General features: G+C 47.7%; 1 long non-coding RNA gene across 7 annotated transcripts in view, besides 2 other annotated features; it reads left to right on the forward strand.

Moving 5' to 3' along the window:
* LOC105376205 (uncharacterized) overlaps nucleotides 1–13,411 on the forward strand; it is a 98,539-nt gene that overhangs the window by 19,565 nt on the left and 65,563 nt on the right. For 6 of the 7 annotated variants that reach the window (XR_930217.2, XR_930218.2, XR_930216.2 and 3 more), the window contains one exon: nucleotides 7,075–7,144. The exons of the other annotated variant lie outside the window; for it this stretch is intronic. This is a non-coding gene — a long non-coding RNA (uncharacterized LOC105376205). The remainder of the gene's footprint in view (nucleotides 1–7,074; nucleotides 7,145–13,411) is intronic. 7 annotated transcript variants of the gene reach the window in all.
* Nucleotides 998–1,523: an enhancer, noted in NCBI's record as "H3K4me1 hESC enhancer chr9:110349632-110350157 (GRCh37/hg19 assembly coordinates)". NCBI's record gives its function as "activates a minimal SCP1, AML or CMV promoter by ChIP-STARR-seq in naive and primed H9 embryonic stem cells {active_cell/tissue: H9 hESC(naive and primed)}" and the evidence as "EXISTENCE:reporter gene assay evidence [ECO:0000049][PMID:30033119]".
* Nucleotides 1,524–2,048: an enhancer, noted in NCBI's record as "H3K4me1 hESC enhancer chr9:110350158-110350682 (GRCh37/hg19 assembly coordinates)". NCBI's record gives its function as "activates a minimal SCP1, AML or CMV promoter by ChIP-STARR-seq in primed H9 embryonic stem cells {active_cell/tissue: H9 hESC(primed)}" and the evidence as "EXISTENCE:reporter gene assay evidence [ECO:0000049][PMID:30033119]".

Here is a 13,411-nt window from a genome sequence, read left to right on the forward strand (position 1 = left end):
CTATAACCTCAATTTCCTGGGTGCAAGTGATCCTCCTGCCTCAGCCTCCCAAGTAGCTGGGAATACAGTGCGTGTCACTACTAAAAATTTTTATAGAGATGGGTTCTGTCTATGTTGCCCAGGCTGGTCTTGAACTCCTGGCTTCAAGTGATTCTCCTGCCTTGGCCTCCCAAAGTGTTGGGATTACAGGTATAAGCCGCCATGCCTAGCCATCTGTTTATTGAGCAGCTAAGATGTGCCAGGCCCAGAAATGGCCAGGCCTGGGTTGGGGGGTGGCCCAGAAAGATTGCTGGTCTGTGAGTGAGAGGGGTGAGTCAAAAGTGACCTCACCAGATAAGGAGAGTTCTTCCTGAAATGAAGGTGCAGCCCACACCACTGCCTGAGGCAGAAGGAGTTAAGGGGAGCCTCCTGGAAGGGTCCCATCCTGCAGGTGAGAAGCGAGGGCCATCTGCAAGTGGGGCCGCCTGTAGTTTCCACCTGGCTGTGATGGGTTCCTTTTTGGCTCAAGTTGAGGTTTGCTTTGGCATGATTCCTCATTAATTACCCTTGGAGGTAATTCTGCAAATGCCAGTAATGACCAGTAGTTAATCTCTCTCTCTCCTGCTTGCCTCGCTTCTTCACTTGTTTTTTTCTTTAATGGGCCATCCAACCTTGTTGGAATGTTTACCAAAGCAGGATAGTTAGAGATGTAAATAAATGAATTTACCTTGTCTAAAGGATCTGGAGATAGAATTAAGGTGAGAGGAGTAATTTACAGGTGAATAATTACTTGGAAACCTCAGCAGAGAGACTGCTGGCGTTCTCTAATTATTTCTCTTCTCCCAATTTTCTCTTCTTTGAACTGCCAGCACGGGGGTGTACAGGGGTGGCATGGGGGGCTGGAGATGTTATTCTGGATTTCCCCTTGTGATTGTGAAATTCCTTCTGGGGAGGGCCTTGCCAGGATGTAGGGTTGTGACTTGCATGGCACTTTCACACCATGACTTCATTCAGATCCTCTGTGAGCGCTCTAGGTGGATGGTATGGCTAGCCACATTTATGGATGGAGAAATTGAGGTTCCTATATGTGAAGTCATTCCCCACAAGCCACACCACGGATCAGTTGCGTATTGTGGCTCAGACCCAGGTTTCTGACACTCCCCCCGCCCTACAGCTGCCTATAGGGCTTCCTCACCTGCCAGGCTGCCTTCTCCCTTCCCCAGGCAGACCCTTGACCCCTCCCAAACACCCCAGGCCGCGTGGAGCCAAAACGTTCTTTGGCGAACAACCTGCTCCGTCTTCCCTGTAAGCTAGTGGCCGCGCCCCTTCCTTACGCAGCTCATTTTCCATTTTAAGATTTCCTGTTTGAACTAAAGGGCAAAGATCTCAGCAGTATCAGCCTGGAGCCGGGCTTCTGTGTGTATAAAGGGGAGCCCTGGTCCCTGCCCTCTGTTTGTCCACTGGCCTTATCGACGGAGCCCAAGTCCCAAGTTCAGAGGCTTCAGTTCCTTCCCGATTTGCTGGGTAAAGTCCGGCCCTTCCGTGCGGGCGGCCAGGGCGGGTGGCCAGCCTGGAGCCAGCGGTCATTTATGGCCGGGCAGCGCTTCCGTCCTGCCTGGCAAGCCACTGGCTGCCGCTGACAGACGGACGGACGATGGAGAGACAAGGGCTCTTGGGGGTGCTTTCTCTTTCCCGTCCTTCCCTTTGTCCTCGGCTGAGGGCTGAACTCCTCTGGGGCTCTGCTGGCCTGGCAGCCATATGTCCCTGTAAATAGGGACAGACAGGGAGGAGGTCTGGGTTCCCTGAAGCCTCCTTGAAATTACATCTTCTTATGGGGTCGATTTGGCTCTCCAGGCCAGCATATACACTCACACTCACACACATATTCATGCTCAAGCACACACTCCCGGATAAAAACCGAGGCTCTCTATAGCTGAGTCCTTTCTCAGAGACACTGAGCTGGTGCCATTTTTATGGGGGATAATAAGAACTGTATCTTGGGAAGAACAGCACGTTAGTTCCAAGGTCCTTTCATCTCCTATGTCTCATCTGATCTGGAGGAAAATCAGGAGTCATCCAGATAGTTATCACCTGCATTTTACAGATGAGAGAAACTGAGAATCGGTGCCTTCATTTAATCATCCCTTTATTCAACGGGAGTTCCTAGGGAGCTTGCATCCACCAGGTGCTAAGGATTAAGAGGTGAAGTAGGTACAGTCCCTCTTCAGGTTGCTCAGGAAGTCAGTGATTGCAAGGCGGGGCACCAAATGCCCGAAGCAGCACCCTGGGGTGCCATGGGAGGCGGGAGTCAGGGCATGGGTTGGGGCTGGGGAAATGCTCCCATAAGGTTTGTCCAAAACCCCTGTGAAGCACAAGGAGACCCGGAGAAGGGCTGTAGCTCTTGATGGTGTGCACAGGACACATCCTACCTTTGAGTCTAGGCACAAATTGTGCATGAGGCTCTCTCTGTAGTGAAAGTCAGCCCTAGAGACACAGTGGAGAGGCTTCCTCTATTTGTGAACTGCTTTATCTCCAGGGCCTTAAATGGAGCACTCGATAAATATTTGCTGTTGAATGGACGCATACTACATACACACGTGCACACACAGTGCATGCCACTCTATCTCAGAGCTATAGAACCTACAACCTGAAGGAAGCTTCTAGAATAGTGCAGATTGATGGCTGGGGGCAGATCCAGAGTCAGAGCCATGGTGACCTGATTCTGGATCTCATATGCATGCCCTGAAGACCATGGGACTAGGTATTGAGGCACCCAAGTTCTGGTCTCCTTTACAATAGCTTTCAACTTTGTGTGACCTAATTTTTTTCCATTGCAAAGTAAGGAGGCCCTGTTGGCTGACCTCAGAAAGCCCCTTTTTCTGCTCTAACATTTGGTTAGTCTGGGAATGGGCAAATGGTACTAGGCAGGAATTTCTCCAAGCTGAGGAGAGTCCTTCTCTTTCCAGCCTGATATAGCAGGCTTCTGTCTGTTCTCCCTTGCCAACCCTCGTTGCCAGAAAAATGTAGGCCCCGTGGTCACTGCTGCTGGCCCTCTGGGCTCCTGTCTGCCTTCCCTGCTGCCTGCTGGCATGCAGGGGTGAGGGGCTATCATGTGGCTATTCTCCCACCCCCAGGCCCAGCCTCCCCATTCACTTCATCAGAACAAGGTGTCTGGGAACTGAGGAGTCTAGGGGTGACAGGGTGTCACTAGGCTCTTCCAGGCTGTGGTCAGCCCAGAGCCCCACAGCCCCAGAGCCTGTGCAGAGTCCTGCCTGGGGACTGTCCCATCTGGCCTGCCCTTCCGCCTTCCCTCTCATGGCTGCCGATGTGTGGTCTGCAGTAAATTTCTCTTGAGGCTCAGAGACTTCAGCAATGGCTATGAAAGATGTGGAGTCCCCAGTGTGCCCTCAGCCTGCAGCCATCATCTTTTCTGGGAAGTGGCACTTCAAGAGGTCATGGGGAAAAACTGTCTCCATCAGACCTCCCCACCGGGCAGCCTCTCCCACTTTGAGCCTTTCCCAATGGCATCCATGCCCCTTCCACATGATTTACCTCCCCTCCCCCACGGTGTTGTCCTTTTCTATCCCCTCTCTCTGGGAGGGAACACGGGACAGTGGAACTTGAAGTTGGAAAGACCGGGGAGTCTTTAAATCCCAGCCCTGCTGCAAATCAGCAGTATGACTTGAGCCTCAGGTTTTTCATCTATAAAATAATTACTTTTTCCCAGGCTTGTTAGGAAGATTCTATGAGATTATAGTGCATTAAAGCTCCAGGCAGGTAATAGTAGTGAACAATACTGTAGAATTAGCTGTGTACTAGGCACTGTTCCAAGCATTCCTCAACCCTAGGAGGAAAGGACTATTTACTCCCATGTTACAGGGAGGTTAAGTCATGGCCCAAGGTCAGGTAGCTTGTAGGTGGCAGAGCTGGGGTCATGAATCTAGAAGACTGGCTTGTTTTTGTTTTTTGAGACAAGGTCACTCTCTGTTGCCCAGCCTGGAGTGCAGTGTAATGGCACAATCATGGCTCACTGCAGCCTCGACCTCCCTGGGCTCAGGTGATCCTCCTACCTCAGCCCCCTAAGTAGCTGGAACCACAGGTGTCTGCCACCACACCTGGCTAATTTTTGTACTTTTTATAGAGACAGGGTTTCACTATGTTGCCCAGGCTGGTCTCCAACTCTTGGGCTGTTCTCTAACTCTTGGGCTGAAGCAATCTACCAGTCTTGGCCTTCCAGAGTGCTGAGATTACAGGTGTGAGCCACTGCGTCCAGCAGTCTGACTCTTAAACAGTTCTTCACAACCTCAAGATGCGTGTGCTTGCTGAATGTTTCTTGGGTCCAGTTGCTCCCAACTAATTTGGGAGCTGCGAGCATTTGCACTGATGAGACTGATTCGTTTTTTTTTTTTGGGGGACAGAGTTTCGCTCTTGCCGCCCAGGTGGGAGTGTAGTGTCGCGAACTCAGCTCGCTGCAACCTCCACCTCCCGGGTTCAAGTGATTCTCCCACCTCAGCCTCCTGAGTAGCTAGGGTTACAGGTGCCCGCCACCACACCTGGCTAATTTTTGTATTTTTAGTAGAGACGGGGTTTCGCCATGTTGGCCAGGCTGGTCTGGAGCTCCTGACCTCAGGTGATCCACCCACCTAGGCCTCCCAAAGTGTTGGGATCACAGGCATGAGCCACCGTGCCTGGCCAGATGAGACTGCTTCTTAAGCCATCTTGGGCGTTTCATTCACCCCTTTTCTCCCTTTGTTACCTTCCCACATCCTGTCCACACATCAAGGGCTGGGATCTGGCTCCATTTTCTAGTTCTGTACCCAGGAATGGGAGCAAAGCACCTTAGGCCAAAGTTTTAAGAGGCATAAACTGAAGCAGCGTTTGTTTTTGGGGTCTGCCATTTAAAAGGAGGCCAGAAAATGACCTCTGAGTGATTCAATTCAGCAGACACTAACATGACAGGGTAGAGGCTGCTGCCACAGAACTTACAGCCGGTGGTGTTGCTGGCAGGATCCCCCCAACCCAGGCTAGGCTGTCAGGAGCAAGAGGGATGCGTGTCTTAGCTTTAGCACCTGCAAGCACCAGAGGCCAGTCTGGAAGGGAACTGGGAAACCAGATCAGAGAGGAAGAGGCTGTGCCCATTTCACAGAGAGGAAGGGTAAGGTTTAAGGCCCAGACCCAGCACTCTTGACTTGGTGATTTCTTTGACTCCTTTCTTCCTTTTACATTTTGTCTCTATTTTTTTTAATTTTAATTTTTAATTTTATTTTTTATTTCCATAGGTGTTTGGGAAACAGGTGGTATTTGATTACAAGAGTCATCCTTTAGTGGTACACTCATCACTGAGTAGTATACACTAAACCCAATTTGTAGTCTTTTATCCCTCACCCCCACCCCACCCTTTTCTCCAAGTCCCCAAAGTCCATTGTATCATTCTTATGCCTTTGCATCTTCATAGCTTAGCTCCCACATATGAGTGAGAACATACGAAGTTTTTTCCATTTCCTGAGTTACTTCACTTGGAATAATAGTCTCCAGTTCCATCCAGGTTGCTGCGAATGCCATTAGTTCATTTCTTTTTATGACTGCATTATCTCTCTTTTCAAAACTTCAGGAGAGAGAAGAAGGCCCCAGCAACCCATGATGGGTGGAAGTCCCACATGTAGATAGGGGCCCTGGACGGAGGTTGTTGCCTGTTCTGTGAAGGAGCATGAGGAAGGGTGAGGATGAGGGAGTTTTAGCAGCAGGAGAGGAGATGAAGTGACTTGCTCAGGGACACAGAACTTTTCTGCTTCCAGGAAGACAGTATCACTGTATCACTTCTCATCTGGCAAGCTGAAGGCTCCTTCTTTTTGAGACAGAGTCTTACTCTGTCTCCCAGGCTGAAGTGCAGTGGTACGATAACAGCTCACTGCAGCCTTTACTTCCCAGGCTCAAGTGATCCTCCTACCTCAGCCTCCCGAGTAGCTGGGACCACAGCTGTGCACCACTGTGCCCAGCTAATTTTTAATTTTTTTTTTGTAGAGACAGGATCTCACTGTGTTGCCCAGGTTTGAGAGGGCCTTCTGAGCAGAGAGTTTGAGGCAACAAACTAGAAGCAGCACAGTGAGAAGCACTTGTTCTGGGAACGCAGAGCCTTGAGTTTGCGGCTCTGCCACAAAGTCACTGCATGGTCTGGAGTGTGGTTCTTCCTGTCTGGACTCACCTGTCCCAGCTGCATAAAGACACCCCTTCCACTGACCACACGTCTCCAGGCAGATCCAGGCTCAGGCTCAGTCAACCATTCTCATGTTTTTTTTTTTTTCCTTGAGACAGGGTCTTGCTCTGTTGCCCAGGCTGGAGTGCGATGTAGCAGCGTGGTCACGGCTCACTGCAGCCTTGATTTGCTGGGCTTAAATGATCCTCCCACCTCATCCACTAGAGTAGCTGGGACTACCAGCACACACCACCACATCTGGGTAATTTGTAAAAATTTTTTGTAGAGACGAGGTCTCACGATATTGCCCAGGCTTATTCCCGTGTTCTTGCATTAGGGATCAGGGTACAGGAGTAGTTACAGGCTGGGGAAGAGAAAATCTTTATTTTCTATTTTCCAATCATTTAATTCTTCTGTGAGTCTGCTCCTGTAACATCTACTGCAGGTGAGAGAGTTTCCTTTTAGTTTCTAACAAGAAATGCATAGTTTTCTTCCTGTGACTTGAAATAGAAAAAAGAAGACAGGGGTAGTGATAGAATGCCTTAGCTAGGACAGGGGTGAGATTGAAAGGGGAACCTCAATTCTAAGGCAACATTGGTTGTAGGTCACATTTTTAATTCAATACTCGCCTTTACGGGACGGGGAAGGAAGATGCATTGTCACCATGAGCATCTGTGGTAAGTTGTAACCAGACTTCAGAAATGGCCAAATGTGAGAAAAAAAAAAAAATAGGTGTGTTAGGATGGAGGAAATATGATATTTACTTAGAAATGAAAATTGATTGCCTTTAACTTACGATAAGATAATTATGTTCCTCTGAGTCATTGTCATGCATTTGTGTTCATAAACCTCCCTCATTAAGTAGTAAGGGTACGCATTTTATCTTAATTCGTTTTTTATAGGGCTGTGAATTCCTGCATTTATCTACCTTTGTTTTCCTGTGTAGACACAAGGCTGCCTGGCCTCTCAGAGGTGAGATAACTTATTATCTAGCAACTATTTCCCTGGAGCCCAGCCTGAGCTGAAGTGGGCTTTCATTTCTCCTCTTACTGCCTTGCAGTGTAACTTTGGGTACACTTTATCTGCCTGCCTCTGTTTTCTGGTCTGGGTGAAGTTAATATATTAAGTCTCTCATAGGGCTATTGAAAGGATTAAATGAGATATGGTTATATCACTTCTATGAAGGAGGAGCTGATGCTGCCTAAAGCCCATGCATCAACTCAGCCATTCCTCTCTACTGTCTCAGTTAACAAGAATGGCCCATGTAAACATGAATTGGTGTTGGGCTGATAATGTGGTCTCCTGAGAAGGGGCAGGAGAAAGTCTCTGAGAATGGAGCCAATTCCGATGGAGGCTCAGAGATCGCATTGCCTGGGTTCAAATCCTTGCTTGACAACTCACCAGCTGCATGACGTTGAACATACCATCATGTAACTCTTTAGGTCTCAGTTTTTTCATCTGCAAAATGGGAGTAGTAATAGTATGTACGCGATAGAACAGCTGTGAGGATTCAATGGGAATATCAAATGTGTGTATAGAATTTAGTGCAATCAAATAGAGCTCTATTAATTTTTAATCAAGATATGTGCCAGACCTTGTACTAGACACTTTACATATATTAGCAGCTGACACCAGCAGGTTCCCCTAAAAGCTTGAATCACCTCTCCTGGGTCTGATCTTTGTGGAGGATCCTGGGTTAAGATGGGAGCTTTGGTGATTGCTGGAGAGCTCCACAGGGCAGTGGCTCAGCATTGTCAATCTCTCCTTGGGCAAACCCTACCTTTGTGTCTGAAAAAGTCACTTCTAATAGCAGAGTCCCTTTGAAACGCCTTAAGTTTAAGGGAGACAGGCCAGTACCACTTGTTGGATAATCTCTAGGTTCCCAGCATCTCAAAATACTTCATATACTTCAGCTCAGTCGGTCCTTGTGAAAACTCCACAATGCCAATGTTATTGTCCCATTTTGCAGCTGAGGGACATCATAGTGTGCGGTTGTTAAAGACCACGGGCTCTGGAGCTATACTCCTTGGATTCAAATCCAGGCTCTTCCATCAACTAACTGTATGACCATGGGTACTTGACGTCTAAGATCTGTGCCTCTGTTTACTTTTCTGTTAAATGGGAATAGCAGCCAAATTTCACAGGTGATAGTGGGAATTCCATTAGCTATTTAATGATTCCCCATAAATGGTAGCAGGAGGCTGATGCTGCTGGTGAAAAATGATCAGAAAGGAGAAGTCCCAACCAGGCGCAGTGGCTCACACCTGTAATCCTAGCACTTTTGGACACCGAGGCAGGTGGACCACCTAAGGTCAGGAGTTTGAGACCAGCCTGGCCAACATGGTAAAACCCCGTATCTATCTACTAAAAATACAGAAATTAGCTGGGTGTGGTGGTGCACCCCTGTAATCCCAGCTACTTGGGAGGCTGAGGAAGGAGAATCACTTGAACCTGGGAGGTGGAGGTTGCAGTGAGCTGAGATCACGCCATTGCACTCCAGCCTGTGGGACAGGAGAAAGACTCCCTCTTAAAAAAAAAAAAAAAAAAGGAGAAGTCCTACATCTAGGGTACTTAGCCAGGAAGAAGTAGAAGTAAGTCTGCAGCCTGGAATCCAGATAGGCTTGACTCTAAAGCTTATGCCCTGATCAACAGTATTGTGTTTTCCTCCTTAGCTGAGCTTTCCTAATCAAATTAGTTCTAGACAGAGCCCAGAGGCTGCTGAAAGGCCACCTTTATAGGTGGAAGGCAACAGTAGCCGCTCTTATGGAGCTACTTCTCAATAAGGACCTAGCACAGACCTAATGACTCACACTTGATCAAGGAAAACAGTTCACAGACCATCACAGGCTAATTCTTCTGGTCCATGCAGTGCAGGCATTCAGGGATAATGTGTCTGGCTTGTACCACTGATGAGAGAATTATGTGGCACATTTGCTCTTTTTTTTTTTTTTTTTGAGATGGAGTCTAACATTGTCACCCAGGCTGGAGTATAGTGGCGAGATCTCAGCTCACTGCAACCTCCGACTCCCAGGTTCAAGTGATTCTCCTGCCTCGGCCTCCTGAATAGCTGGGATTACAGGCGCCTGCCACCATGCTTGGCTGATTTTTGCAGTTTTGGTAGAGACGGGGTTTCACCACATTGGTCAGACTGGTCTCGAACTCCTGACCTCAAGTGATCCGCCCACCTCAGACTCCCTAAGTGCTGGGATTACGGGCGTGAGCCACCGTGCCCGGTCACGTTTTCTATTATTATTATTATTATTATTATTATTATTATTATTATTATTATTATTATTTTGTCACCCAGGCTGGAGTGCAGTGGTGTGATCTCAGCTCATTGCAACCTCAACCTCCTGGGCTCAAGCAATCCTCCCACCTCAGCCTCCTGAGTAGTGAGATGACAGGTGCATGCCACCATGCCCAGCTAATTTTTTGCATTTTTTGGAGAGATGGGGTTTTGCCATTTTGTCCAGGCTGGTTTTGAACTCCTGAGCTCAAGTGATCTGCCCACCTTGGCCTCCCAAAGTACTGGGATTACAGGTGTGAGACACTGCACCTAGCCTGCACATTTGCTATTTTTGTAGACTCTTTTAGGGGATGTCTGTCCTTTTAGAGAGAGAGAGGAAGAATATGCAATCCAGGATGGAGGAATAGACTGCAGCCAGCATGTCAGGAGGGGATAGATGGAGAGGGCGAGGAATGATATTTGGGTACCTGCTCTATGTCCAGCACAGAGCCAGGTGCTTCCCTGATTGGATAGGTACTGTCTCCCCACTACCCCGCAGAATAACTCAGGGAGCTGCAGGGCCTTGTATAAGGTCACACACAAAGAAGTGGTGGAGTGACTGTTTCAGTCCTCCTGGTCTGATTTCAGTGTCTTTAACACCCCAAGACCTTTTTCACCCATGCCCTGAGCACATGCTGGTCTCTGCCTGGAATTTCTCCCATTCTGGGCATACTGCTACATTCTAAAAAATTCTTTCTTTAAGCTCTACGTTTGCTTCACAGTTTCACCACACATGCAATTATTTATTTATTTGCCTTTAAGCTTGGGGGGTGCGTGGCGGACAGATTTCCACAATGAAATGTAAATGACAAGAGAGCAAGGCATTGTCTGCCTTGTTCATCCTATGGCCCCAGCACCTAAAACAATGCTTGGCCCTTAGTAGGTATTTAATATTTCCTTAATAAAAAAAAATAAGAGCAAAGAATCTGACTCAGAGTCCAGGTTTATTAAAGATATAATTTACTGGCCGGGTGCGGTGGCTCATGCCTGTAATGCCAGCACTTTGGGAGGCCGAGGTGGGTGGATTACCTGATGTCGAGAGTTCGAGACCAGCCTGGCCAACATGGTGAAACCCCATCTCTACTAAAATCACAAAATTAGCTGGGCGTGGTGGCGCATGCCTGTAATCCCAGCTACTCAGGAGGCTGAGGCAGGAGGATTGCTTGAACCCAGGAGGCAGAGGTTGCAGTGAGCCAAGATCGTGCCATTGCACTCCAGCCTGGGCAACAAGAGCAAAACTCCTCAAAAAAAAAAAAAAGAGAAAAGAAAAGATATAATTCACTGACCACAGAATTCACCTAACAGTGTATAATTAAATGGTTTTTTAGTGTATTCACAAAGTTGTACATTTTCGTCACCCCAAAAGAAAACCTTGCATTCATCAGCAGTCACTCCTTATTCCCCTTCTCCCCCAGTCCCTGGCAACCTTGATCTACTTTCTGTCTGTATGGATTTGCCTGTTCTGCACCTTTCACATTAAATGGAATCCTATTATATGCCCATCAGTTGATGGGGATGTGGGTTCTTTCCATTTTTCGGCAATTGTGGATAATGCTACTATGAACATTCGCATACATGTGTTTGTGTGGACATGTGTTTGCATTTCTGTTGGGTATATCCCTTCATCCTGCTGCTTCTTTTATTTATTTATTTATTTATTTTTTGAGACAGATTCTTGCTCTGTCACCCAGACTGGAGTGCAGTGGCGTGATCTCAGCTCACTGCAACCTCTGCCTCCCGGGTTCAAGCAATTCTCCTGCCTCACCCTCCTGAGTAGCTGGGATTACAGGTGTGTACCACCACACCTGGCTAATTTTTGTATTTTTTAGTAGAGTCGGGGTTTTGCCATGTTGGTCAGGCTGGCCTCAAACTCCTAACCTCAGGTGATCTGCCCGCCTCCTCCACTCAAAGTGCTGGGATTACAGGTATGAGTCACTGCGCCCAGCCTACCACCTTGCTTCTTAACTCTCTTTTGACAGCCAATGATAGAAGCCTCTCATTTGAATGGGCACAGCCTGGCTTTCTGGGAGGAGCTAATCTGCCTTTCCTCCTATTCCAACTGCGTCTACTCAGGATTTACCCTCCAAGGACATCTCCAAAAATGCTGGGGCTGGGGGAATCTGAAGCCTTCCCATCCGTGTGGCCTGGCAGGCATGCTAGCCTCTTGGCTTGGAGTCACCACTTAGCACCTCACCTTTCCTCTTTATAGAGGGAGAACAAAGATCGAAATGCCTCGTCCCCAGACAAAAACAGACACAGCATTTTAATGATTAACACTGTAACCGTGTTATTGGCCTGCGCAGGCCTCTTGCCATCAGTGAGGCAGGAACAGCCCTGCTGCCTCTTGCTCTAAACCCCAGGGGGAAGGGTAATTTAATAAAGATTCAGTGCTTCCCTGTGAAAGTCCCAGGACATACTTCCTCCTGCCATTGAGAGGTTGCTTGGTAGGTTCTGGGCATTTCTGAAACTCTCCACTGTGACCCACAGTGTATGAGCCTTTTTTACCTGCCCCCAGGTGCTCTGCTGGGTACTTTTCATCTATTATCTCATTTTTTATTCTCCCAGTCACCCAGCCAAGCAGCTGGACCTATCTCCATTTTACAGTTGTGGAAGATGAATCCAAGCTTTAATCTTTCATTCCCCTGCTAGACCAAGGAATGCAGAAATACCTAAAGAAACATCTGGAAGTAAAAGATGCTGCCACAAAGAAGTTCAACTACTTCTTTGTCTCTTCCTTTTGGGGTGATTTTTCTTTCACTTTACTTGTTCTTGTAAAGAATCTTCCTACCTTTCCATTGCCCCTTCCCTCCCACCCACTCTACCCCTGTCATTCTCCTTAGTTGATCTGGAGTGGATGCAGAGGGACCTACATTTGTTTCAGCATAATTCACTCGTCAGCCTTTTATTCAGGTGCTGACTTATCCGGTTGTAAATTCAGTCATTCATTCCATGCTCATTTCCTGTTCTCCTTCTATGTTCAACACCAAGCTCCATGCTGTGGATTCAAAGGTGGTCGTGGTGTGGTCCAGATCTTCAAAGCCCTCATAATCTAGTGGGGAAAGAAGAGATGCAAGCAAGCAGTTTCTAATTAACATGATGAGAGCTCCTAGAGAGGGACTTACACTGTGTTGCAAGAACATAAGGAACAAAAATCAACCTGAAGATAGGCCAGGCACAGTGGCTCACATCTGTGATACCAGCACTTTAGGAGGCCGAGGCAGGTGGATCACTTGAGGTCAGGAGTTTGAGACCAGCCTGGCCAACATGGCGAAACCCCATCTCTACTAAAAATACAAAAAAATTAGCTGGCCATGGTGGTGCCTGTCTGTAGTTCCAGCTACTTGGAAGGCTGAGGCAGGAGAATTGCTGGAACCCGGGAGGCAGAGGTTGCAGTGAGCCAAGATTGTGCCACTGTACTCCAGCCTGGGTGACAGAGCAAGACTCTGTCTCAAAAAAAGAAAACAAAAACAAAAACTAACCTGAAGAAATCATGGAAGACCTCCTAGAGAAAGTGTCACGAGAGTTGGGAACTGAAGCAAAAATAGGAGTTTATTAATTTCTCTTTAATTCCTTTAAAGACCATATCAGTGGTCTAGACCCACCTGCTTCCAGTCTCCTGCATTTAAGCAGACATTCTCCATGTCACATACCTGGCCTTTCCTGACAATAGCTGTTGAGACCAGAGATTGACCTCAGGCCCCAAGTAAGCTAATTCTTAGATAGGCTGGAGATCATTGATTAGTGGCCTGACTTGAAAAGTTGAGCTCAGCCAATCAGATTCCTTCTTCGGGAAGTTAGACTTGGGAAGAGAGGGATGGATCTAGTTGGTGCTGGTGCTGCATTTGCAAATATGCAAGGTAGAATTGGGAAGCCACAATGATTGTCTACCAGTGAAGGTGTAGGGACACTAAAGCAACAAGGAAACAGGAGACGCCTAGGGAGAAAGCAGAGAT

Source organism: Homo sapiens, chromosome 9, assembly GCF_000001405.40.
Source record: "Homo sapiens chromosome 9, GRCh38.p14 Primary Assembly".
Classification (NCBI taxonomy): Eukaryota; Metazoa; Chordata; class Mammalia; order Primates; family Hominidae; genus Homo; species Homo sapiens.